The sequence below is a fragment of the Homo sapiens genome, chromosome 3, assembly GCF_000001405.40.
Source record: "Homo sapiens chromosome 3, GRCh38.p14 Primary Assembly".
Taxonomy (NCBI): domain Eukaryota; kingdom Metazoa; phylum Chordata; class Mammalia; order Primates; family Hominidae; genus Homo; species Homo sapiens.
In genome coordinates, this window is record NC_000003.12 from 126,900,439 (window position 1) to 126,926,924 (window position 26,486).

Sequence of the window (26,486 nt, forward strand, 5' to 3'; positions counted from 1 at the left end):
ATTGGCTCACGGTTCTGCCAGCTGTACAGGAAGCACAGTGCTAGCATCTGTTTCTGGGAATACCTCAGGAAGCTTCCAATCATGGCAGAAGGCGAATGGGGAGCAGGTGTCTCACATGGCTGGAGCAGAAGAAGCAAGAGAGAAGGACGGGAGGTGTGACACACTTTTTTTTTTTTTTTTTTTGAGGCGGAGTTTCGCTCTTGTTGCCCAGGCTGGAGTGCAATGGCGCTATCTCAGCTCACTGCAACCTCCGCCTCCCAGGTTCAAGTGATTCTCCTGCCTCAGCCTCCCAAGTAGCTGGGATTACAGGCATGTGCCACCACGCCTGGCTGATTTTGTATTTTTAGTGGAAACGGGGTTTCTCCATGTTGGTCAGGCTGGTCTTGAATACCTGAACTCAGGTGATCCTACCATCTTGGCCTCCCAGAGTGCTGGGATTACAGGTGTGAGCCACCACGCCTGGCCAGGTGTGACACACTTTTAAACAACTGGATCTTGCCTGACCTCACTCATCACCAAGGGGATGGCACTAAGCCATTCATGGGGGATCCGCCCTCATGATGCAAACACCCCCCCCAGGCCCTACCTCCAACACTGGGGAGGTGTTGACATGAGATTCAGTAGGGACACGGATCCAAACCATATCACCAGCACAGCACTTGGCACAGAGCAGGTGCTGAAACAGCTTCACAGGGGCAAGTGGTGATGCATACTGTCAGCTTCAAGAAGGAAGAGCCTAACTCTGACTAACTTACTGACTGAGAAATGTGTAACAGGAGACCCAGGGTGGTGTAGCCTACATGGTCGGCTTCACCCATAAACTGCTAATTTTCTGACTCTTAGTTTTGCCGTCCTCTGACGGGAGGCGCTGTCTGTGTCTCAGAATTCCCAGCAGTCGTCCTAAGTTTCACTCATCCTGACTGGACCACCTTAGGTTACTCATCAGTCCTGTGGCCAGGGCACGGGAATGTACTAGTTGGCCTGACCTCAGTCACATCCTGCCACCTGTGGATCTGGAGCTGTAGTCCACTTCTCTAGAAGTACATGGATTCCCCACGGGAAGTGGGAGCTGTCTGAGAGGGAGAAAAGGAATGGATGCTAAAGAGGCCACCAACAGGAATTGACTCAAATGGAACCATCCAAATGCAGTCTAAGATTGTGTCTCTGAAAGTATAATATGTGTGAGAGAGGAGGCTTCCGACTCAGACTACATCTTAGACTTATATTTCATTCTGGAACGTAGATCAGTTGAGGCTGTTTTCAAAGAGTGCAAGCAGGATTTGGGGAACATTTGAAATTATGCCATGTGAGGAAGGGTGGTGCTAATATGAGAAGACTCAACAGCGTCATGATAACTAGAGGGTCACGGTTCTTCTGTGTGACCACACGAGTGAAAGTGGTACCAGTAGCCACTGTCACTCATTGAGTGCTTGTTGCACTGCCTGGCATTGTACTCAGCTTTCCCCCTGCATTGTCTAATCCTTTAATATTCCTTTGAGGGAGGGACAGATCTCCTAGATAGCTACTCCTACTGCCCTCCTTTGTTAGATGAGGAAACAGGAACGCGCAAGTTAAGTAATTCGTCCTAAGGCATAAAACTAGTGAGTGGAGAAACCAGGATTTAAACTCAGGTCTCCAGCTCAGGTTCCCTGACCTTACAACAACGATTCTCAACATGAGCTGCACATTAGAATCTCTTGGGGGAGCTTCTGTAAGACAACAGCGTCTGTAAGACACTGATGCCTAAGGCCCACCCTAGACCAGTAATCAGGGTCTCTGTGGTGTGGGGTGGGCTCAGGCAAAACGTGTAACAGTGGCTTAGGTATTGCCAGTGCACGGCCAGGGTTGAGGACCACTGGCCTAGAGTTGAGGGCCACAGCATGGCTGCCTTCCAGAGCCCAGTGGGAGCTGCAGATATATGAAGGATAAAAGGACTATTAGGAAGAGGAGAGCAAGACCAAATCAAGGACATTCAGATTTTTAAAAAATCAATGTAGGCTGGGTGCGGTGGCTCAAGCCTATAATCCCAGCACTTTGGGAGGCCGAGGCGGGCAGATCATGAGGTCAGGAGATCGAGACCATCCTGGCTAACATGGTGAAACCCTGTCTCTACTAAAAATACAAAACAATTAGCTGGGCATGGTGGCGGGCACCTGTAGTCCCAGCTACTCAGGAGGCTGAGGCAGCAGAATGGCGTGAACCTGGGAGGCAGAGGTTGCAGTGAGCCGAGATCGCGCCACTGTACTCCAGCCTGGGCGACAGAGCAAGACTCCATCTCAAAAAAAAAAAAAAAAAAATCAATGTAGTGCTCGGAGACAAGACCCCTAGAGGCCTCCCTTCTGCACATCCATGCTCCTCGGACCTCACACACATGGACCACCTGCAGGCTTGTAAAGAGCAGGTGTGGAGAAGGGTCTGAGAGATTCTGCATTTCCAGCAAGCTCCCTGGCCATGTTGGTGCTGCTGGCGTGGAAGCCATCCTTTGAGTAGCAAGGCTATATAGTGCCATACTGCCGAAGACTGAGCAGGCAGAGATTAAGTCAAGAGTCGGTGGTCAGTTCCCTGCGAAGGGAGGTCAGGAGGCATGCTTGTAAGCTGCCTGCTTGGGAGCAAGGCCATCTCCTAGGGATATTCTGAGGGGAACTGGGGCCTGCTCTCAGGAGTGTGGCTGGCCGCTGTCAGGAGGACTGAGCATCTCCAACACTAAGAAACGCTGAGTGCAGTGCCTCGTCCAGCCTTCCCTCTGCACTCCACCTGGAAGTGGAACTCTAGGATCAGCACAAAGAGCAGAAGCATCTGTTAATGCCTCCTTGGCCCAAATGCACAATGTCTGTAGATCTGATGCAGAGAACCACCCCCGCCTTCAGTCTGAGCAGCCGCACTGGATCCTCAGGGCATAACGTTGTCCCTTAACCCTGGAATTCCCTCCCAGCCTCGGATTTCCCAGCTTTTGGGTTGTCCTTGGATTTTTTCTACTCTTCTACTCTGTTACAGAGAATTGTAGCAATCCACACCATCAAGACCCTGTACAATCTTATTCAGGGGTCAGATCACTAGTAAGTAGCAGAATTAGAATTAAACTTCATGTCCCTTGATTTTTAAAAAAAATTCTGTTGTGCTATGCATTTTGTTTTCAAACTCTTTAGATAGTCATTTAGTCAAATATGTTTTTGCAAATGTAAAAACCAACTACCCAGCAGCACCAAGGCAGGGCTGGCTGCCTAGCCTTTGTGCAGATAGTGGTGCCACCCAACTGGACGGCCCTGCCTCCTCCCACACCCTGCCAGTGGAGTGATTACGGCAGTAGATTTCCTTGTCGATCCTGTTTACTCCCAGCACACTGTGGAATTCCCTCCTTGTCTGCCCTCACATGACTTCTATCCATCTAGGTTAAATGCTGTTCTGTACTTTGCAGCCATTTGAAGCTCTCTACCTTCCTTTCTGCTTTAACACCCTCTCCCTGGCCTCAGGTTGGCTCCAGGGGATCCCATCCTGGTCTGCAGGCCCTGGGTCTAGGTAGGATGAGATTTACCTTTCACGTACCATAGCATAATTTTAAAAATTGTTTTTTACACATCACTTTAAATGGGACTTTGATCTTTTGCCTTTAACTGTTGATCAGGCGTTTCTTCCATGAAGTTTTTCTTGAATAATCACATTTCTCTGAACACTTTTTCTGTTATCTTCTTATATACCAAAACACAAACCCTTCCCTCATACTGTCTCCTACAGGGACAGTGTTACAGAGCTGCCTTTCACCCCTGGTTAGCCCCTCCTCTTACAAATCACTGGGTACATTTGGTTAGCCCTGTAGTCTTCAAAAATTCCTGTGTGTGCCCTTTCCAGGAAACTATAGGCTAAAACCCCTTGTATGTGTCTCCTCTGGGGCTCCCCTGTCAAGGTCCACCATAGAGGTGGGTCATTCCCACCCAAACACTTGTCTTGGCCACTTGCAGTGAGAAATATTTCTGGGATGATGCTCAGCACTCCCCCAAAGACTGATGGCTGATGTTTAGTATTCAGTGTGAATCACATTGTTAAAAAGCCTGTGCGGCTATTGCTAATTAACACAGCTATACGCTTATCTGTTGCTTTACTCTTTGCAAAGTCTGTGTGTGTGTGTATGTATACATATATACACACAACTACATACATCGGCAGCATACACACACCCCAGTAGTGACTGAAATGATAGACTCAGCCACAGACCCAGAAGAGGCATGGTCTAGAACACTCAGCTGTAAGCCTTGGACTCCCCATCATGGCACTAACAGAGAGAGAATGACATAGAGCGATCTTTTCTCTGCCTTCTCACAAATGCCAATACTTCTGGGAAGGTCTCACCTAAAGCCACTCTCACTACCACTCTAATTAGCAGTTCACACTGTAGCAAGGTTTAGATGGCAGCCAGCCAGCTTCGTTAAGAAATAGGACATGGAATAGATGTCCTAGAATGAGGTGTCTAGAAGGGGAAGGGTGGGGTGCCCTGGTGGATGAGGGAAGGAACTTGAGCTAGGATGTGAGGTGATGAGGCATGGCTTTTAGGACTGCACCTGCTGCTTCCAGGAGGCTAGGCCAGGGGCGGGAGCAGTGGACTTGACTACCTTAGGCTAGAGGTGATGAGGGCAGAGCAGTCTGGAATGTGTCACATCCAGAACGAGCCAAGAAACAGCGCCTTCATTCATACTTCAAGCAGGCATCTGTCAGACCCATGGTTGGCCAAGCATTAAGCCATCAAGGTAAAGAACTGACTCTGAGCCCAAGCGGGTCCCAGTCTAAGCCAGGGAGACAGGCATGTCAACAGATGATTGCAGTGGGAAATACCACTGAAAAGTGTGTCTTGGTACAGCACACTGGGAAGGGAATGATTAGTTTTGCCTGGGAGAGGAATGACATTATTCAGCAGAGATGACCTTGTTGTTGGGTCTCAAAGCATGAACAGGAGTTTCTTGGGTAGATAGGGAAGAATTAGCAGAGGAAAGAACATCTAGAACATCATGGAGGCTTGGAAACAGCAAGGCATTGCAGGAGAAGTGCAGCGCCTACAGGGACAGTGCCAAGATTGTTTACTAGAGAGGGCCCGATCTCACAGGGGGTGTCTTGGATGTCAGGATGTCATGCTGCAGGAAAGGGGAACCATGCAAGTTCTCAGCTGAGAGCTGTAGAGAAGGGTTGTCCCTATAGCCACAGTCAGGGGATGGAGCAGCGGGGTGGCCAGGATGGGGGGTGTGTGAGGTGCGTCCTTGTGTTTGTCCACTCATAAGATAATAAAGACTGAATGAAAGCAGTGACAGTGAACAGAAAGGGAAGGAGTCAGGTGACAAGCAAGGAGACAGGGTTCTCTGAATTTGGTTGCAGCCTAAGATAGGGACCCATGGGATAGGAAGCAGTGGTGAATGACAGGTAGCCCTCCAGAAGCTGGATAGCTAGTGGTGTTCACTACTTCAAGAACTGCAGGAATCAGGGGCATCACGCGAGAACCAAGAGACGAGGGCATGTAACAGGAGAGTTCTGGAAGGAGAATGACTGGCAGAGGGAAAGAGGAAATATGAGTGGGATCAGATCATTGATGGAGCACAGTTCTGACCAGGGCCAAGCTTCCTGAGTAGATGCTGCACAGACACCATCAGATCTGAGTCTTAGACTCCAGCCCATCCTCAGCACCTCACTCCCACTCCAGCTGCTGTCTTGACTTCCCCACCCATTGTCTCCTCTATGTTTCAAACTTAGCAGGTCCAAGCCTGTGGTGTTGTCTCATTCTGAACTGCCACTAGTGGAGATGGTATTCCATGCTCCCTCAGGGAATGACCCACCCATCTCTCTGGGCCACTGCAGCATCCTCCAGGCCTCCAGGCCTCCAGGCTGATGGCCACTTCCACTCTTTCTTCCCAGTCGACACCATTACACGGCAGCCAGCAGTCCTTCCAGAATGGATATCAGATGGGGTCCTTTCCCTGATTAAGCCCAGTGGCTCCCTACCAACTCTGGAACGGGCTCTGCGGCTTGAGGCCCAACCCTGCTGGCCCTCCCTGCATCTGTGCCTCGTGCGGTCCAACACCTTCCGACAGCGCTCATCTTGCTGCTTTACGCCGGGTGTAGTCTCATCCCAGACCTCTCCCAGTCTTGACTTACTTTTCTCGTTCACATGATTCGGACTTCTGCCCAGTGTCAGCCGGGGGTCGGGGAGGGATGAGCCTTCCCTAGCCAGTCATTTACAACAATACCCCTACCTTGTTGTTCCTTTTCACTTTATTTAGCCTGCTGTGGTTTTGTATTTTTTCCCCCTCCATATCCAGAGCGTTAGCTCTGTGAAGGCAAGGACTTCACCTCTCTTGGTTCCTGCTGTGCTCAAGTCTGTTTGCGTTCATTATTCATTGGATCCTCAGCACCCCTGAAAGCTAGGTAGGAGTTTTTCTCCCTGGACCAATGAAGAAGCACGTTCAGGGAAGGGGGAGTCATCATCCATGTCACAGCAGACGCTGGAACAAAGAACCCAGATGACTGGTGGGCATCTCTTTTGAGGGTATAGGGACCATGGGTGTGGGCAGAGGCATGCCTGGCCCTAGTGGAAAGTGCTGGGGGTACATATGCCCAGCAGCAGCTGCTGTTGTCTCTCAGGTGGAAACACGGTCATCTGATGGTGGGAATTCAGGGGTAACAGGTAAAGGCTGAGATAGCTAAGAAGGGGAATGGGCAAAGACGCCAACCTAGGGTCTCAGGAATTACAAGTTGCATGGAAGGTTCAGTTGAGCTGACTTTGCATTGACTGTAGTCAGGGCAGATCTCTGAATCTCTTTAGGGTCTCTGCACACTTGTTTGGGGTAAGTGAAGAACAAGACAGGAAAGAGGGGTCTCCCTCTCCAGATGACAGCACAGTAGGGCATAGCCAACTAGCCTCATAAGTTTGCTAAGAACCAGATGTGCAGCCACTTAACGAAATTAAAATTCTCATTCATTCATTCATTGGTTGTGTAGCTGACTGCATGTCCTGAGCTTTAATTTTTTATATTGATTATTTGGACCTTTTTAAAAAGACTTGTGTTCATTTTTCACTTATTTGTGGTTTTTACTATTTTCACATCAGAAACTCTTTCTCCAAATCCTGAATATGTTAATTTTCTTCACTTTGCTTAAAATGTAGCATTCCTGTGAATTTTGAGAAGCTTTGGATAATTAGGCTGTTGAGTTCCAAATCTCCCCAGATGACCAGTGTTTGGCCATGTTGATAGCATCTTGGATAGGGCTTTCCTGTGTTCAATCTGTTCCTCTCAGATTTCTGGGATTTACTTGCATCATCAACCCTTGGCCCTTTTCCAACCTGCACTAATTTTGCTGGGAATCTCTCCCCTGCCCTGGGCAGCAGGATCCTGGGCTGCACATTTTTCTACGTGGAACCATGTGCTGGCATCTGCGTGGCCTTTGGTTTGTTATTTTTCTTCCCAAGGGACAGCTGGGTAGAATAGAAGGCTTGCCACTGTGTGGAAAGCCACCAGGCCTGTCCTCGGATCCTGTTGTTTTGCTTGAAGTTGTGACACCCAGAGTAGGACCCGTTGCCTTGCTGAACCTCAGTTTCTTCATCTGTCAAAGGGGCGGTAATTCTTACCTTGAAATACTGCTTTCAGCTTGCCGGGAATTGACCTGTTGGAAAATCTGCTTCAGTGCCTGGCCTGAGGAGGGCTGTTGAACCTTGTGAGTGGACATATCACTGTTTGATTGGAGTTTTGAATACATTGCTGGTGGGAGCAGAGCACAGTCAGTGACTGTTTGGCTCCTGCATTCTCTCAAAGCATTTGGAGAAATGTTCTCACTGCGTGGGAAAGGTTCCAGGTTCCTGATTCTCACTCCCTTCCACCTATCTTGGCCCCACCCTCAGACTCCTCTGTGCTTTGGTCGGATTCTGTGCTACCCCCAGCTGGCTTCCACATGAGCCTCTCAGCTCTCCTTAAGCAGGGCCTGGCACAGAGTGGGAATAGTGGGAATCAGCAAACTTTCTTGGTTGACTCTATAAATAACTAGGTCCTGATCATCTTTTCAGATATTCTTAAGTGGGATCATCTTGTCGGATTTTCTGTAGTGGTTCTGACCCCTATTTCCATTTACTCAACTTTACATTGAGGGCCTGCTCTCTGCCAGGCACTGTTACAGGCTCTGGGGATAGGTTAGTGAACAAAACAAGCTAAAGTCCCTATCTGTGTGGAGTTTACATCCCCAAGGAGACCTGACACTTCCGATACTCTCGGATCTCTCTTCCAAATACATAGTATACTTGGTTGGTTTTTATGCATTTGAGTAGGAGATTTTTAGTTATTAAAACAGGTATTGAATATTTACTCTGTGCCAGGCACTGTTCTAAGAATTTTATATGCATTGTCATTCGATTCCCACAAAACTGCAGAAAGGAGGTTCTGTCATTGTTGTCATTTTACAGATAAGAAGCTGAAGAAACAGACCCAGAGGTCTTGACCCTTGCCTGTGGTTACACACCCGGAAGAGGTGGGTCCTGACCCTGCACAGGCGGTCTGACCACGGCATGCACACGTTGCCACTGCCCTGTGCTGCCGCTCTGTTCTTGGAATGCTCCTGAGGCCTTGGTTCTTTCTTTGCTATTAGACATAAATCCTCAAGTGCCGTGACCCTCTTAGGCTCCTTCTCTCCCGTGGCGCCCAGCACAGCCTGTGCACACCGTAGGCCGTGAATGACTGCTGTTAACTTGGGAGGTGGTTAGGGGGTGTCTTTCAGGGCTCCAGTCCAAAAGTTGCTCTCCCCAATGTCCACAGATTAGGCTCTGTTTTCTTCACATCTGTGATTGCACATGCCTTAATGCACTGGTCCCACGCTGCTCTATAGTTATGGGGGTTCCCCTCAGACCTCTGGGCCCCATGTCCTCCTCCCACCCCGCACCTGTATTCTGGCTTTGGGGCAGGGGCTGCCGGGTGATCTCTTCTGCTCAGACACATTTTGTCATCTTCCCTTCCCCGGCCTCCTCACCATGCTTCCCTCACCCTCACCCTTGCTTTTGATCTCACAGATCCAGGCCCTTGGAGAAATCAGACAGTATGAAATATGAAAACTGCTCGGGAAGTAATTGAAGAAACACTGTGACTTTGGAAACCCATGGAGATAACACTCACACCTTCTTACTCACGTTATTTAATTTTTAATGGCAGATTTAATTAATGGAGGTCAGGCCTCCTGCTTTCAGATGTGCATGTGGGGCAGCTGGAGGAGGAGGAGGGGCAGCTGTCTACAGGGCAGAGGAAAAGACTGCAAATTTGGGAAACTAAAGAGTCCGATGGGAAAGAAAATCACCCAGAAATAATAGTCCCTGGTCATTGGGTGCTAATTAATGTGTGAGAATTCGGTAGAGCGCACTTCAGAGAAGTTTCCCAGTGTCTCTCAGTGGGCAGCAGGGCTCCTTTACAGGCACAGTCATGCTGCCTTCCCAGGCTCTGTGCTGCAGGGTTCCAGGAGCTCTCGAGAACTGACGGCCTAGCCGGGGAGAGCTGGATGCCATCATCCACACAGCTGCCAGAATGTTCTTTTAAAAACACAAATCAGCTGGGCACAGTAAGTCACGCCTATAATCCCAACACTTTGGGAGGCCAAGGCAGGCAGATCACTTGAGCCCAGGAGTTTGAAACCAGCCTGGCCAACATGGCGAAACCCCCTCTCTGTAAAAAATACAAAAATTAGCTGGGCAGGATGGCACACTCCTGTAGTCCCAGCTACTGGGGTGGCTCTGAGGTGGAGAGATAGCTTGAGCCCAGAGGTCGAGGTTACAGCGGGCTATGATCACACCACTGCATTCCAGCCAGGAGCAAGGCCCTGCCTCAGGAAAAAAAAAAAAACAAAAAAAACAAATCTTCCCTGCCCCTCCTTCACTGAAAAAGGAAAGCCTTCTTCACCCTTATTGCCCATGAGGTGCAGTCCAAGCTTTTGAGCCTGCAGCTGGCATCCTCCACGTCCCCTCCTGGCCGTTGCCCTGTGCCTCTGCAGCAACAGTGGCATCTCCTGCCCCATGCACAGCCCTGTGGCAGCCCCAGGCTCCTCGCACTGCTGCCTGTGTTCAGGAGACCTCCCTCTCATTTGGCTCATTTCTGCTCATCCTTTAAAATTCATTAAAATGGATACACCCTTTGACCCAAGAATTTGACTTATACAGTGTTCCCTACAGATACACACAAAGTTCTAGATGCCAAGATGTTCCTCTTAGCTTTGTTTATAATAGTAGAAGACTAGAAACAACCTCTGTACAAGGATGGGGAGCTGCTTGAGTGATACTCAAGGGATGACACTACAGGGTATTCATTCCTACTACTAAGTGCTGGTCAGCTGGAGTGGGTGAGGTCTCTGAGGATCAATGGAAAGATGAGGTGTGGCAGATCGTGTCTGCTGCAGTCAAGTGAGTGTCAGGAACAAGTGGGGCACATGTGTGTGCTCACTCACACATGTGCCCATGCATGCACAGCACCTCGCCCTGACAAGGACGGGGTGCACAGAGGAGTAGGGATAGGGCTGAGTCCAGGCTGGCCAAGAGGCTCAGTATTCACCACACACCCTCCATGCTTTCCATTTTTGTTTTTTAAAACCATATGTAAGTATTTTTCAAAAACATTGTTTAGTGTAAATAAAAAAAACTCAGCCTCAGTTCAGGTATTGGCTCCCAGGAAGTCAGTCTGACCCATGGTTTCTGCCAGGCTGTCCTTTCAGGTGCCCCACAGCACCTGGGAGGACTGGCTGAGTACCCCATTGTAATTATGATGCCACCATCTCAGAGCTCCACGAGGCCAGGGAGCAAGCCACACTTGTCTCAGAACCTTCTGGCACTTGGCGGGTTCTCAGTGTGCACGTTGGTAGTGTCTAGTCCTTCTAGAAGCCCTGACCTGGTGATTGGTTGAGGAGTCCACAGAGTGCCCTGCCCTTCCCAGGAGATGGAGTCTGGGTCCACTCCAGCAGCCTTGGAAAGGCCTGGTGGATGAGCAGCTTTGTGAACACAGGAAGCCAGCTTGGTATTCCCAAGTTGTGGGCCGGAGACCTTCGAGTGCCAAGGGAGCTGCGGTTGTGAGGACATCCGTCCCTGTAGGTCTGCTTAGGCAGATTAGATGAGTGGGGTAGGCGGGTCAGGACAGGACAGGACGGGGAATTTCTCTGAGTCATTCTGAGAAACAATAGAGGAAGCTGCAGCAGGGTAATCACCGCCACTTCTTGGCCTGTGGGTACTTCCTGTGACAAATCGAGTTGACCACATGTTCAAACTGAGCTTGCAATCAAACCCAAGCACTATCCAAATTCACCGGGGCCAGGCTGTTTCTGGCAGTATGGCATCTTGAGCACAGGCTCTGAGTGTCTACTGAAGCCCACAGCAGGCCGGGCCCATCTGGGCCAAGGATTCGCTCTCTGAGAAGGTTGGCAACAGGTGCCTGGGCCTGCAGGATGGTGACCTGACACTCAGGAGCCCTGTGGGCACAACCACAGGAAGAGGGGTTTGGCTCAAAGAGAAGGTCTGAGCCATGAGGTTGTTTTGTGGGAAAGGAAGTAGGCCAGGATGAATTGTGGGGGGCGGGGCTTAGGATGAGGTGCATTTTAGCTCTGGAAAATTCAGTGGCTGTGGTGGGCTGAGGTGGGTGCTGTGTGCCAAGATGTCTCTCCACCAACTGCAGGCTGGGTGATACCCTGTGTTGCTGTTGAGAGAAGTGACTTACCCAAAGAACACCGCCAGCATATGCCAAAGCGCAAATCAAAATGTGGGTCTGTGGTCCATGCCATCTCCTGATGAGGTCTCATGAAGGGGAACTTCAGACAGCTAAGCAGTTCCCACCCAGGCTGTGGCGGAAGGGCGTCTGCATGGAGTGGGAGGGAGGCCCAAAGTTGTTATGTCTCTGTCCCTACCGCCTCGCCCAGGACAGGCAGTGCTGGTGGATACTGGACTGGTCGAGGCAAAGACGTAATCTCTCGTTTGAATGTGAGGGCTCTAGAGAGAACACTGGAGCCCCCTTGCTGGGCATTTTGGCAGCAGCTGGCTGTGGTGGGAGGAGAACCTGTATTTATTTCGTGCCTGTCGTATGCCGGGAGGGTTGGCATTTCCCAGCTGTCATTCCCAGTAGCTGTAGAGGGAGGCATCCATTATCTCCTTGGCTCAGAAGTGAGGAGCAGCGAGGTGACTTGCCTAAGCTCACCAGGCAGTGGAGGGTGAAAGGCCCAGAGGTGGCCCCCAGGCCTCCCTGACTCCCCCGGCCCAGCCCAGGGCAGAATGCCAGCACCTGGTGGTTCTTCCTCATCACATGAGCCAGGTGCTCTTCCCCAGGGGCTCACCTTCCACATTTACCTCCCAGTCAGCACTTCTCTGAGGCCACGATGCAGCAGGGGAGTCCTTGGGGTAAGACTAGAGGGGGGCCTGGTTTCCATCTGGACCTGCCTTCCATGCCCTATGGCCTTAGAGGTGGGGGGTCCATCCCTGCCTCAGTTACCTTCCCTGCAGAAGGCCGAGGGGGGTCCGTGGTGCACAGGAAGTGCTTTCCCTGGGTGGCTCTGTGCACCTCTCACTTCGTGTCTGCCCAGCTTCAGCCAGGCTAGCTGTGTGCCTGGTGGGCGGAGAGAGCCAAGTTGAAGTCCTACAAATGTGCAAGGCAACGCAGCTCTAAAGTTCCTTCACTGCCACACAAGCGTGTTTCAGGGACTGACTGATCTGTGCCTGCAGTAGGTACCTGAGACCTGAAGCTCCCATTTGCTCATCTGTAGAACGGGGATAATCATGCTGCCCGTATGAGCCTTTTTTTTTTTTTTTTTTTTTTTTTTTTTTTTTTTTTGGGAGACGGAGTTTCACTTTTGTCGCCCAGGCTGAAGTACAGTGGCACAATCTCGGCTTACTGTAACCTCCACCTCCTGGGTTCAAGCGATTCTCATGCCTCAGCCTCCCAAGTAGCTGGGATTACAGGCACCCGCCACCACACCCAGCTAATTTTTTTTTTGTATTTTTAGTAGAGATGGGGTTTTGCCATTTGGGCCAGGCTGATCTTGAACTCCTGACCTCAGGTGATCCACACACCTCAGCCTCCCAAAGTGCCCATGTGAGGCTTTGAGGAGTAGATGTGGTTGTGTCTGCAAAGGGACTGACCTTAAGCCAACTCCAGGTGACATCTGCTGTACCTTCCTCACCCGCACTGGGGAGGTCTGACCACGGGCCCTGCCCCACCTCAGGTTGTTTCATTTCTGAAACTGCTTCCTCATGAGTCAGCCCAAGGCTGGCCTTCTCCCTGCTGCCTACATGTCCACATGTGGGCTTCACCACACTCCCACCTGGAGCACGGCAGGAGGCTGCTAGCAGATGCGTTAATGTCAGTCTCCCCTCAGAACATGCGAAGGTGCTGGAGCTTCACAAAGAAAGGAGGATGTGGACCTGGGCCTTTGTGGCCTGGAGCAGCTTGCCTCTGAGGCACAGCAAAGTTCCATAACCTACCCAGAGCCACACGGTGGTGGCATCAGGGCTTAGACCCAGCTGTGTTTTGCTCCCAGGCCTGGGCCTTCCCTCCACAAACCTGGGTCTGTAGGTGCACATGTACCGGGTGATCTCAGGACAAATTAAGTGTGTGCCTGTGGATGCTCCCCTTAACAATCTGGACAGATGGTTGCTGTTCCGATGAGTAGGGTGGTCAGGGTAGGCAGCAGAGTGTTTCCCAGACTGGGAATCTAGACAACTGAGTTGTAGTCCTTACACTGCCCCGTTGCTCTGTGACTTTGGAGAAGTCATTTCACCTCTCCGGGAAGGAAAGTCCACCTATAAAATAGGGGTTGGACCAGATCAAGACTGAGAAATTTTTTTCTTTAAAGATAGTAAGTATTTTAAGCTTTGTAGGTCATGTAGTCTCTATCATAGCTCCTCAACTCTGCCATTGTAGCACAGAAGCAGCCACAGACAATATGTGAACTAATGAGCGTGGCTGTGTGCCAGTAAAACCCTTATTCACAAAAACAGGTGGCAGGCTGGATTTTGCCCGTGGATCGTGGTCTGCCAACCCCTGAGCTAGAGGATCTCATAACGCACTTGCAGCCATTGCTATTCTAGGATTCTGTAGCAGCAGCCATGCGTGGTGGAGCTGGAACCCAAGGTGTGGATTAATTACCAGTCGGCTTTGATGCCCGTCAAGAAATTAGCATCTGTCAATTTCTAATGTGGTTGCATCCCATTAGAGAGCAGAGGGAAATTTCAGTCTTTGGTAACCAATTCTGTTTTTCTCCTTGTAGAATGCTGAGATGTATAAACTGTCTTCAGAGCAATTCCATGAGGCAGCCTCAAAGATGGAGAGCACAATAAAGTAAGAATTTGTTTATTATTCTTTGTAAACTTGGCCCACAATTGTAAAAATTCCCACATGTGGCTTGAAACCTGCCACCACCTGCCTAATTTCAAGTTTCCCTAATAATACACACAACCATCTGTTCCTCAGCTCTCTCACCTGGATCTGAGGTAGCCATTGGTCATCTGTAATTGGCCAAATTAGCACTCAGTTCTTATCTAGCTCCTTGGCAAATTGGAGTGGTGCTAGGGTAGACTTGCAGAGTTATTTTCGGGGCCCAGTGTCTGCTGAGCAGGGGCTCCTTTCCTTGTGTGGCTAGCTGAGGAGCTGGCCGTCAGGCCCCAGAAGGAGTTGAGGCAGGGGTTCTGCTGGCTTCTCTCCCCTCTGACTGTGGAGGGGTTTTTAGGGGAAGGTGTCCCCTCTCAGTGCTTCCTGTGCCTGGTACATGCAGTGCACCCTGTGCGCAGTCATGCTCGGGGTGGCCCACACTTCATGCCCAGAGGAACTGAGGCTCAGAGAGCTGCTGGCTTGCTCAGATCATACAGTCCTAAGTGCCAGCATTCTGTCCCCTGTCTGTGGTGCTCCTATGCTGTCCATTGAGGACTCAGCTGGAACGTCACAGGAGCAGGGAGGTGCTCACAGTGTGCCCAGTACCAGTGTGGCTCTGCTCAGTCAATAGTACAGTTCCCTGGAAGGTCAGAAAGTGATTCTTGTGGGAAGGAATTGGGTCTTATGGGTTCTCTGTGTGAAGTTGGTCTCTATGGACCTGAGAGACCTTCATAAATTAGCCAAGGGGCTACCACCAACTCCATCCACTTCCTGGGAAAGCTGCTCCCTCCCAAGAGTGAATTGGGACAATTCACCTGGCAGCCCTCAGGGCACAGAATTGTGAGCAGTGGGTCTGGCCTCATGAGAAAGAAGTGTCAGAGACAGGTTTGCATGATAGTTGTAAAAACAGCTGTGCAGAGAACTGTGAGGAGCTGGAAGGACAGTAGGGACAGACAAACAGTCAGCATAGACCCAAAGGCACAGAATAGGACAGGGAACAATGTAGGCTGGTTTTGGGGTCTCTTTTTGAGGCAGGGTCTCACTGTGTGGGCCCAGCTGGAGTGTAGTGGCAGAATCATGGCTCAATGCAGCCTTGACCTCCTGGGCTTAGGTGATCCTCCTACCTCAGACTCCCGAGTAACTGAGACCACAGGCATGTGCCACGCCCAGCTAATTTTTGTATTTTTTGTAGAGATGGGGTTCACCATGTTGCTCAGGCTTAGTGTAGGGGTTTTATTCTTGAACACTAAACACCTAAAGCTGATGGGGATACTACATATTGTGGCAGAGCCATTTAAGAATGGGTTTGGGAAAGAGAAAATAATTATCTTGAAATTTTGCTGGACGTGGTGGCTCACACCTGTAATCCCAGCACTTTGGGAGGCCGAGGTGGGCAGATCACCTGAGGTCAAGAGTTCAAGATCAGCCTGGCCAACATGGTGAAACCCCATCTCTACTAAAAATACGAAAATTAGCCGGATGTGGTGGCACATGCCTGTAATCCCAGCTACTCAGGAGGCTGAGGTGGAAGAATCACTTGAACCTGGGAGGCGGAGGTTGCAGTGAGCTGAGATCGTGCCACTGCACTCCAGCCTGGGCAACAGAGTGAGAATCCATCTTAAAAAAAAAAAAAAAAAGAAGGCCAATTATCCTGAAATTTCAAGTCCTACAGCAATACTAGGAGCCTGAGAGGAGGAGAATCTTCCAAAAGGCAGATAGAGACAAGGACAGGTGTTGAGGTAGAAGCCCAGCCCTGCTGATGCTAGGACCCCACAGGGCCTGAGTGAGTAAGCACCAAGGCTGCCTGCATCCAGGAGTTGAAGGGTGCTGCACTGCCCTGCAGGGTATGAGCCACCCCACACACAGACACCCTGCCCCCACTGGTGGTCAGCTCTCGACCTGTTTCTGAAGGGTTCCCCCCGGTATGTCCTGTTCATCTGGGGCTGAGAAATACTTGGAATCACAGAACATTGAGAAGGAGAGCTGTGGTGGCAGCCACATCAAAGAGGCTGCTGAGTGACAGCTACAGCATGGATGTGATCCCCGGAGGTGGGCCAGGCCACAGCTCCTGCCCATTCTCTTACCCGAGCAGCTTCTTCCAAGGCCAATGGCCCCTCCCTTTCTACCTGGAGCCAGGACCCACCTGCCAAGGAGAAGATGCACTGGGGGAGAAGCCAGACAGCTTTCTGTTGGTAACCATAATGCCTGTCACCTGCCAAGTGGCCCACCATCATGAGGGCAGGGACTCCTGCCCCACCAGCCCCTTTGTGAATTTGGCTTTATTGTCATAGCCTTTCTCATCCTCATATCCCCTGAAAGCAAGGTGGGATGGATGTGAATGTATTTTTAATCTGAGTGAAGCCTAAGGTTTTTTTGTTTGTTTACAGCATCCCTTGATAATAATTAGCACTATTTACTAAGCAATAAGTACTCTGCAAGGCGTTTCAACTCCATTCTATATTTACTCTTGTTGGTTTCATATACAAGTGAAGAACTGAGGCTGGAGAGGTCGAATAACTCCTTTTGTCCGTGGTCACAGCTGGTTCTGTGGCAGGGCTGGGGTTGCTCTTCCTTTGTTTGTCTTTGCATCATTGCTGTCCCTTGCAGGCCCTGCCTGGACGTAAGATGGCAGCAGGGTGGAGCTCTCAGAGCCTGCCCGGGTTTTGGACTCAGACCAGGCCTCAGACCTCAGCCCTGCCCCTTAGCAAGTCACTTCACTTCTACAGGCCTCCGTTTCCTCACCTACAAAACAAACAGGACACACTCTTTAATCTTTAAGTGATAATTAAGCAAGATTCCACATAGAAAGTAGACCTAGGATGTCAACAACTGTTGTTGATATTAGTGTGACTGTTTGCTATGGACTAAATGGTTTGTCTCTCCAGAACACATATGTTGAAATCTCACTCCCAATGTGACGATATTAGGAGGTGGGGCCTTTGCAAGGTGATTAGATCATGGGAGTGGAGGCCTCATGGGTGGGATTTGTGCCCTTATGAAAGGGACTCCAGAGAGCTCCCTTTCCTTTTCTACCATGTTGAGGACACAGAGAGAAGACACCATCTATGAATCAGAAAGTGGGCCCTCACCAGACATCAGATCTGCCAGTGCCTTGATCTTAGACTTCTCAGCCTCCAGAACTGTGAGGAATAAACGTCTATTGTTTATAAGCTGCCCAGTCTCTATAGTACTCTATTATAGCAGCCTGAATGGGCTAAGATACTGTTAATAACGGCAGTCATTTTAGTCACTTTTTTACAGCACCTAGCTTGGTATAGAGTAGAACAGATTTGATATATAAATTGAGCTTATAAAAACACTTTTCCTTTTCCCAAATACAGTAAACACGAAGCAGTGTACAGTTAGAAATTACTTAAACATCTAGAGAAATCTTTGAGATATTTCTTGGATTAACAGATATTGTAAATTACATCATAAATGTCATAGAAATAAATGCCAACTGCTGATAGCAGTAATATTGAGGAGTTTTCTTCTAAGACCATGGAGTATCTTTTAACAACTTTGAGTAAACTGCTTAGATGGTAAACTAGATGTCCATGTATTCATTCATTCATTGAATACACATGTATAGAGTGCCTGCTGTTTGCCAGACACCATGCTAGGCCCTGGGGACACAGTGATGAACAAGACAGCTGCAGTCCCTGCCAGCAAGGAGCTTATAACATTTGGGGAATGACAAACAATGTTTTAAAATTAATTGCACAACAAGCAGTTACTCAATTAACTGATTATAGCAATGAGTGCCATGAAAGAAAGAGTCTGAATTAGAAAGACTATGTCACATGGTGGGAAAAAGCATTTTAAACAGCTGGATTAGTATGTGCAAAGGCCCTGAGACAAGAAGCAATTTAACTTATTGAAGGAATTGAAAAAAGGCCAGTATGGCTAGAGAGTAATGAATGAGAAGAGAGAAAAAGAGGAAGCTCCAAGAAGTGAGCATGAGCCAGACCATGCAGAACTTTGTGACATAGTAGGAATTTTAACTTGATCCTAAGGGCAGTGAAATTACCTTTTTCAAAGCTTTATTTATCTTCTAATGTATGCATTTAAGGCTATAATTTCTGTATAAACACAGCTTTAGCTACAAGTTTTGATATACTGTATTTTTAGTATAAATGAGTTAAAATTTTTCCAGTTTTCATTCTGATTTCTTCTTTACTCATAGGTTATTTCAAAGTATGTTGTTTAATTTCCAAATGTTTAGGGGTTTTCTAGTTACATTTTTTATAATTGGTTTCTGTTTAATTCTTCTGTGATTAGAGAACATACTCTAAATTCTTTGAAAATTATTGAAACTTGATTTATGGTCCAGTATATGATGTGCTTTGGTAAACTGTCCATGTGCATTTAAAGAGATTGTGTATTCTGTCAGTAAGATGTAGTGTTCTGTATTGTCAATTAGGTTAAGTTGGTTAGTCATGTTCAAATTTTCTGTATTTTTAATGATTTACAGATTTATTGTTTTTTTCTGACACTTTCCTTCTAATTTTTTTTCTACTATTTCTTTTCTTTTTTCTTTTTTTTTTTTTTTTGAGACAAGGTCTCACTGTCACCCAGGCTGCAGTACAGTAACATGATCACAGCTTACTGCAGCCTCAACCGCCTGGGCTCAAGAGATTCTCCCACCTCAGCCTCTTGAGTAGCTAGAACCACAGGTGTGCACCACCACATTCGGCTAACTTTTTAAATTTTTAGTAGAGAAAGGGTTTCACTATGTTGTCCAGGCTGGTCTTGAACTCCTGGCTTATGCAATCCTCCTGCCTCAGACTCTGAAATTGCTGGGATTATAGGCAGGAGCCACTGCATCTGGCTGGCCTTCATTTTTTTTTTTTTTTTTTTAGTGTATCTTTTCTGATAAAAGTTTTATTTTTAATTGTATGTAAATACCTTTTTCACCTTCATTTTGAAAAATATAGCAGTCATTTCTTTCAGCTCTTTGAAGATATCTTTACATTCTTGATTTTTTTTTTCCTTGAGAAGCCACCTGTTGATATTGCTGTCATTCCTTTACTTCTTTTTTCTCTGTTTTTAAGATTTTCTGTCTTTGGTTTTATTAAGCCATACCTAGTTATTGATTTTCTTTATTTTATTCTTTTTGGATTCAGGTCTTGAAGGTTGACATGTTTTTCTCAGTTTTGGAAATCTCTTACCATTATCTCTTCAAATAACACTCTCCCCTATTTTATCTTTCCTCTTTTCTAAGGTTATATGTATTACTGTCTCATATGTCTCTTGTTCTTTTTTCTGGTTTTCCTCATTTAAAAAAAATTTCCATGCTATAGTTGGAGTTCTCCTTATTAGTCTTTTAGTTCATTGATCCTCTTTATTGTGTCAAGTGTGCCTTAAATCTATTGCATTCAGAATTTCAGTTACTAAATGTTTTTAATTCTAAAAGTTCTATTTGCTTTGCTTTTTTTTTTTTTTTAAGATTCCCAGTCTTTGGTGAAATTCTACCTTTTGCTCTCTATTTTCTTGAACATATTAGTTACAGTTATTTTAAAATCATCTGAGGGTCTACTTCTGTTGCCTTTTTTTTTCTTGGGTCCTATTTATTTATATGTCTGATAATTCTTGATTGAGTGCCAGAAATTGTCTGGAAAGATGACAGAGGTCCTCTGTGATATGACCTTCCCCAGAGATGCCTAGGGATGTGGCTTTCCAGGGTCCCTCTTTCTTGGTGAGCTCTAAACCACATTTTTGTTTTCTCGGCTCTGCGAGACTTCTGAAAATTCCACTCTTTCAGTGGCCTCTTTTAGTTAGCTTCTTAGCTTCTTGCCTGAGTAGCTCAAGAATTTGACAAATGTTTTAAAAGAAGAAAACCACTGAGTATTGTCTCACTGCTTTGTAGCTCCCTTCTCTCTGGAATCCTGGCTCCCTAAGTCCTAGCTGCCCAGGCAGCCTCCACAGGAGCGTTGCCTCCCTATCATCCTGTGAGACTGCCGAGAATCTCCACAGCTTTTCTTGCCTTTCAGCTGAAGCTATTTGCCTGACATTCACCCTGTCTTCCTGATCCAAGAATTGGCAGAAACTTTGAGGGGGAAAGTGGGTCTAATAACAAATACTCACCTCTCCACGGTTCCCTTCCCTTCATAATCTTGGACCTCAAGTCCTAGTTGCGTTGGTCCTTAGATGCCTTCCCACAGATTTTTTTGTATTCCAACTTAATTTTTTTTTCCCTCGGGGAAGAGCATAGGCCTTTCACAAGCTGCTCCATTGTAGCTGGAACTAGAGGTCCTAACTTAGTTTTTGAGGAATGACTAGAGTTTGCCAAGCAGTAAAGGGCCACCCCAGGTAAAGGAAACAGTAAAATCCTAAAGCCAGACCCTGTTCGTTTTAGCAACATGGGGCATTGAAGGCACGGGTGACTCTCCCAACTTGTGTTAGGACACCAACCTGTACTGAGGCCTGGATCAAGCCCAGCATATGTCAAGATCTCAGAAGACTCCTGCCTCAGGGCCAACAGGGAGCTCTCCACCAAAGAGGAGTGTTGATGGCAAGGCTGACAGTCACAGACTAGGGCCTCTTGTTTTGGAAGAATCCTGTTGTTAAGACAGAAGTGAATATTCAAAATGTGTATGTACACCCCCGCCCACCCACCTCACAGCAGCACAGAAGGCAGAATTGTTCAGATTTTCTGAAGAAGAGATGAAGACCCCAGGGAACCTCCTGCATTTATTGTGTCACATCTATTTTTTATGACAACCTTCAGTCTGCTTCCCGTGGGATTCATTCAGAATCTGTCTTGGCTTCTCCTTGTCAGGAAACTTGTACAGTCCTCCCTGGTCCCACAGAGAGCCAGCCCTCAAAGAGGTTAGAACAATTGAGTTGAAGGAAGAAGGTTATTAACTATTTCCTGAAACTGAGCCATTGTGCTCCAAGGACTTTGATCCAGAGAGGCCTGATTAATGTGGATGTGGCAGCCTTGGGACTCGCTAGAGCAGAGCTGCTGTAGTGCTTTCACCTGCACTTGGAAGACAGGACTTAGTAAACTCTGGGACAGTCTTTAGGACCCACCTGAGAGAATGAATTGTTTCTAGGAACCTGAGCTTCCCCAGTTTGTATTTATTTAGTGAGCTAATGACAGATGACCTATTAAAACAGTGGTCATTTATTTAAACCCCAAAGAAAATGGCATTCTAAACATTCTTTAATCCAGATAACATTCGTCTTAGCCTGAATTCAAAAATGTTACTACATCTCACTTCCCTAGGTAGATAACCTTTGATGACCTTTTAAAGGAAACGTTTTCTATGCAGAAATTTACTGACATGTGTGGCTTAATCTGATGGACCTGGCTCTTTGAGAAGTTAACAAATCAAAACCAGTTTGATACATTCATTTAACTAATCAAAATTTAGTTAATTTCTTATTTGAAAAACTTTTACTAAACATCATCACGTGCCAGCGACTGTGCTTGGCACATGTACTGTACCCTGTTTCCCATCTTCACAGGAAGCTCAGCTGGCAGATGCCATTATTATTACCATTCTGCAGATGTGGAAATGAAGGCAAGTTCATTGACCTCTCAGACTCAGTTTCCCGGTCTGTAAAACAGGGACGATGGTGGTGCCTACTTCTGTCAGCTTCTTATGAAAACCAGATAAATGTGATAATCCACATTTGCTTACAGACACACCCCAGGGAGAGGCAGGTGGGATTTGAACCCAGGTGTGGATGAGTCTTACCTTGCTCTTTTCTGCTGTACTGAGATACGTATCTCTCAGAATGTACAGGATGGGGGCATTCAGCTGCTTGCTGCTTACCTGACTGCCTGGCTGTCCCAGTGCTGGCTGTGCCCTTCCCTGAATTTCAGCCCACCACGTGTGTGTGTGTGTGTGTGTGTGTGTGTGTGTACACATGCTTGTTTCCTAAGCTGTGGCATCTTATGCAGGCATTGACTCCCGTGTGTATGTGTATGTGTGTGTGTGTGTGTACACGTGCTTGTTTCCTAAGCTGTGGCATCTTATGCAGGCATTTACTCCCATGCCAGTGCTTACAGAGTTCTGTCACCTTTGTAACAAGGGAAACAAAGATGCATGGAGAGAGAGTTGACCAACAGAGGTTAGTGTTTGTGTAGCATATGGGAATGGAAAGTCAAAACAAAAGACGCCGGGTGGCAGTTTTCTCTCAAGACCACACCTTGGCTGGTTCTGTGGGTGGTGGGGTGAGCCGCCATTACTGGTGGCATTGTGGGTGTGATAAAGAGGCTGCTTCTGTCTTGTCCCCAGGGCAGATGTCACACAGGGACCCCAGTGGTCTGCTGAACCTGGATGGGGCCTTGAGATCCTTCTTGCCACTGCGCTGTAGCAGCTCATCTCAGCCATGTGGGGTTGGCATCCAAGGTGAAACCCATTTGACATCCCTGGGCCAGATGATTTCTGAAGATAGAGTTTTCAATTCTGAATCTCTGTTCTCAGTCCCTGATTTCAGAACACAGAATCTGTTAAGCTGTTTGTCTTTTTATGTCCTACTTTCTGTCTAGAATGACCTCCCTCTTTTTTTCTTACAAATTGCTCTGTTTAAAATTTAACTTAAGCATCTTTTCTGCTTACTGTTTGTCTTACCCAGAGGTCAACCTAATATCTTATATATCTCCGTATCCCCACCATCCAAGCCAGGACTTAGCCTTGAGAGATGCTCACCAAGTCAGTGTCAGATGGGTGGATGAACTGACACCCATTGTGGGATTTAAAAATAAGTGGTTGACTGTTTAAGCACCTACTCATGCAGCAGGGCTCTGTCTGGATCAAGGCCCTGAACGGTACAGGGCCTTACCTCATTTGAGGCAGGGCCTTGCACAAGGCAGGAGCCCCACACAGGGCAGGGACTTTGTGGTAACCGAGGGTACAGATCTTAGCAGTGCTACCTGACGTGTGGCCTGGGTCGGATGACATAAATGCTGAGACACACTTCCCTTACTTCTAAAGGTTGTTTTGAGGGCATCATGAGGTAATTTGTTAAGCCTCTAGGAAAGTGTCAGGCACGTAGTAAGCACTCGATGCATGGTAGGTGTTGTTACATAGAAACTCACATTTTAGTGAGAGATTGGAGTGTAATAGCCAAAAGAGAGCACATTCCTAGGTGCATAGAGTGTATCAGTGACTGAACCTGGAGCCAAGAAGGAAAGGGACACATAGGAGCCCACAGCTCTCCTTTTGGGGATGTATCCCAGAGAGATGCTCACCTGTGTGCATCAGCAGCCATGGGCACAAAGGGCACTGCAGCCCTGATTCTGAGTGTGGAAATCGGAGGCAGCCTCATACCTAGTGACAGGCAATGCGTAACACAATTCCCCCAACCCTGGAGCTCCAGACGACAGCTACGGTGTGCGCCGTGCATGCTGGCCTGCAAAGGTGCCAGAGACCTCTGGTTGGGGAAAAAGCGATTTGTAGTTTACAGTGCATGTGTACAGTTGACACACATATGGTAGGACCATCTCTGTTCTGTAGACATATTTATGTGATATAGAGAAAATGTCTGAAAAAGGTATGTTCCTGACGGGAGATAATAGTTATCTCTGGTTAGTTCGGAGAAGTTCAGGATTATAAAAAGGGTCAACAGGGACTATAGCTTTATCTGAAATGTTTATTTAAATATATATATTCACACACACACTCTCACGTATAGCTTGTATAATTAAAAATTAACAAGACTACAAACACAACCACAAGGAAAGGAACAATAATGACTTGGGCCAGGGGTGAGGGAGGTTCCCAGTGCAATTGGGCATCAGATCCCTAAGCTAAGGGTGACCCCATGAGACAGGCACTGTCCCCAGAGCTGGGTTCCTGGTTGTGTGAGTGGGAGAGACTGGGAGTGTGCTGTTTGCCAGTCAGGGCTTGGCTTCTGACCCTCTGAGGTGTATGAGGCAATCTCCTTTCCTCGTGAACTTGAGCTGTGGTTTTGAAATGTCCTTTAACTGGGGACCTGGTGCTCAGTTTGCGGACATGTGAACACCTGAGGCACAGATGAGCTGTGATTCTGGGTGAAGCCAGAATGGGTGGGCCTGGAGGACCTCTCCTCCATGGACATGCTGAGGCTCTTGGGTCAGAAACCCAGCAGCCAGGAGCTGAGGTCGCAGGAAAGGTGGGTGCCTTTCCTTCCAGGCCTCCATCACCTGCCTTTCATTCAGGCCTGGCTCACTCACTTGCTCAGGAGCTGCTGGCCAGGTTTTTGCGTCTGTCATTTCATGTGTTAGTGGGGAGTAATGAGAGATGAAGCTTGCAGCAGTCAGTATAGCTTTTGTGCTGTCAGGTGCATCCAAATGCTCCATCAGGAATGATGTTGAACCTTTACTGGAGTAAATGAAACTTAGGAATTAGGCAGTGGTTTTCTGCTCCTCATTCTGTCCTGTCACCACGAATAATCAAGTGCTGGGTGCCTGGCACTCCATTTGGGGCTGTGCTGTGCAGGCAGGCAGTAGACAGATTGGAGAGGCTCCAGAAGGAGAGACCAGAATGGTTAAAGGGTTGAAAAGGTAAACACACGGTTTGGGCCCCCAGGAAAGGAGAAGGCTGACCAGAGGGTGGAATTTTATTCCTCTGAGAAGGAAACATTGTCTGAATAGTATCAGGGCTACAGCCTTGGACTGCAGCTGTGAAAACTTAAGTTAGATCTAGCAAAGAACTTCCTGATTTGCAATGAGGCATTATAATGTGATAACCAAGGGAAGTTGTACAGCGCTCATCTTCCTGTGTAAATGTTTAAGAAAAGCAGCCATGTCACTCTGCACTAGGAATGTAGTATACAGCCAGCCCTCTTCCTCATCTGACCATGAGCCGCAGAAGGGCTACTTCCTCTGCCACAGCATCAGTGTTCTGTCTCTGTCTCCCTTGGCTGGCAGGCAGGCAGCCAGCCACCATGCTTCTCCTAGGAAGTATCATAGTGGTTTTCTCTTGGACGCTGCTTAGAGCAGGGAGGCCTTCCGCCTTTTAATGGCTTACTCTCATAACCCCTGCTCCAGCACCGGGGGCCACCATCCACAGAAGAGAGCCACGGAGGGCCTGGAGTGTATTTGCTGCATAACCTTCTTCCCCCTTATTTTTTTAAATCATCATTTCTCCTTAAAGACAGGATTAAATGATGGTGATCTAGAACTTAACCTCTGATTCAGTCCAGTCAGCCTTTCCTGAGGCTGGCTTGGTGGCGGGCTCTGTGCCAGAGAGGATATATAACAATGGACGAGACCATCCTGGAGGCCCTTGCCTCCGCTGCAGAGCACAGACGCACTCCCAGCCACCGCGCTTGCGGTATCCCTACCTCCCTGCTTAGGACTCTCGTTCCTCTAGGCTCAGCTCAAATGTGTCTTTCTTTATAAAACTGAAAGGCTGTCTAAAATCCTCCTGGCCCACCCAAGACAGAGTTAGCTCTGCCCTCTTTACTGCCCCCAGAGAACCTGGGAGGCCCAGGGACAATACATGGCTGCCACTTACATGTCTGTTTTGTACTTACATATTCAGGCATTGCATTTTGCTAGATGATAGGCTCTTTGCAGACAGGAACCTTGTTTTATTCATCTTTGTATCCTCAGGGTCCAATACTTATGAACTCAAGGAATACCAAATGGAGGAAGAAATACCCCATGACAGATGGTGAGTGCCGCAGCTGTGAATGAGGAAAGCACTCCCACAACAGAGAGGATGGCAGGACTAGCTTTGCCTGAGTAGTGTGGCCTCAGAGATGAAATGACCTTGTGCTGAGCCAAGGTGAAGTGGACCAGGGCAGGCTGTGCAGCCAGGGGTCATTGTGAGTGGAGACTCAGTTGGGCCTCTCTTCCTGGAGTATTAGGGGAAAGATGGGGACCAGGCATGCTGGTCAAGAAGCAAACATCCGAGAGGGTAGAGATGAGGCTGGTGGGACAGGGTGGTCCCAATGTGAAGAGCCTTTGGTGCATTCTAAAGAATTCGAGATTCATCCTGCAGGCAGTGGCAAGTCATAAAAAAGGCTTTTAAGCAGGGAATTGATATGATTGGATTTGTGTTTTAGAAAGAGATCTGGCAGCATTTGGGAGAACCAAGCAGTAATGATGTTGAGAGCAGAGACAACACTGCCAGCCAGGAATGACTCACCCATTGCACAGATATTCCACTCCCACGCCGGCACTGTTCTGGGAATACGGTTGTG

At 48.0% G+C, this 26,486-nt stretch overlaps 1 protein-coding gene across 2 annotated transcripts in view, besides 4 other annotated features; it reads left to right on the forward strand.

Annotated features, from left to right (window-relative positions):
* The window catches only part of CHCHD6 (coiled-coil-helix-coiled-coil-helix domain containing 6), a 256,181-nt gene that overhangs the window by 196,199 nt on the left and 33,496 nt on the right, over positions 1-26,486 (forward strand). For both annotated transcript variants that reach the window (NM_001320610.2, NM_032343.3), the window contains exon 6: positions 14,242-14,312. In NM_001320610.2, coding sequence (NP_001307539.1) covers positions 14,242-14,312 — 71 coding nt within the window. The remainder of the gene's footprint in view (positions 1-14,241; positions 14,313-26,486) is intronic.
* Positions 8,342-8,654: a silencer, noted in NCBI's record as "fragment chr3:126627623-126627935 (GRCh37/hg19 assembly coordinates)". NCBI's record gives its function as "represses an EF-1alpha promoter that drives an FKBP-Casp9 reporter gene in an ReSE screen in K562 erythroleukemia cells {active_cell/tissue: K562}" and the evidence as "EXISTENCE:reporter gene assay evidence [ECO:0000049][PMID:32094911]".
* Positions 10,685-11,884: an enhancer, noted in NCBI's record as "MED14-independent group 3 enhancer chr3:126629966-126631165 (GRCh37/hg19 assembly coordinates)". NCBI's record gives its function as "activates an origin of replication core promoter dependent on BRD2, BRD4, P300/CBP and CDK7 cofactors, and independent of MED14, by STARR-seq in HCT116 cells {active_cell/tissue: HCT116}" and the evidence as "EXISTENCE:reporter gene assay evidence [ECO:0000049][PMID:35650434]".
* Positions 10,817-11,296: an enhancer, noted in NCBI's record as "active region_20443". NCBI's record gives its function as "activates an Ori minimal core promoter by ATAC-STARR-seq in GM12878 lymphoblastoid cells {active_cell/tissue: GM12878}" and the evidence as "EXISTENCE:reporter gene assay evidence [ECO:0000049][PMID:35858748]".
* Positions 11,437-11,516: an enhancer, noted in NCBI's record as "active region_20444". NCBI's record gives its function as "activates an Ori minimal core promoter by ATAC-STARR-seq in GM12878 lymphoblastoid cells {active_cell/tissue: GM12878}" and the evidence as "EXISTENCE:reporter gene assay evidence [ECO:0000049][PMID:35858748]".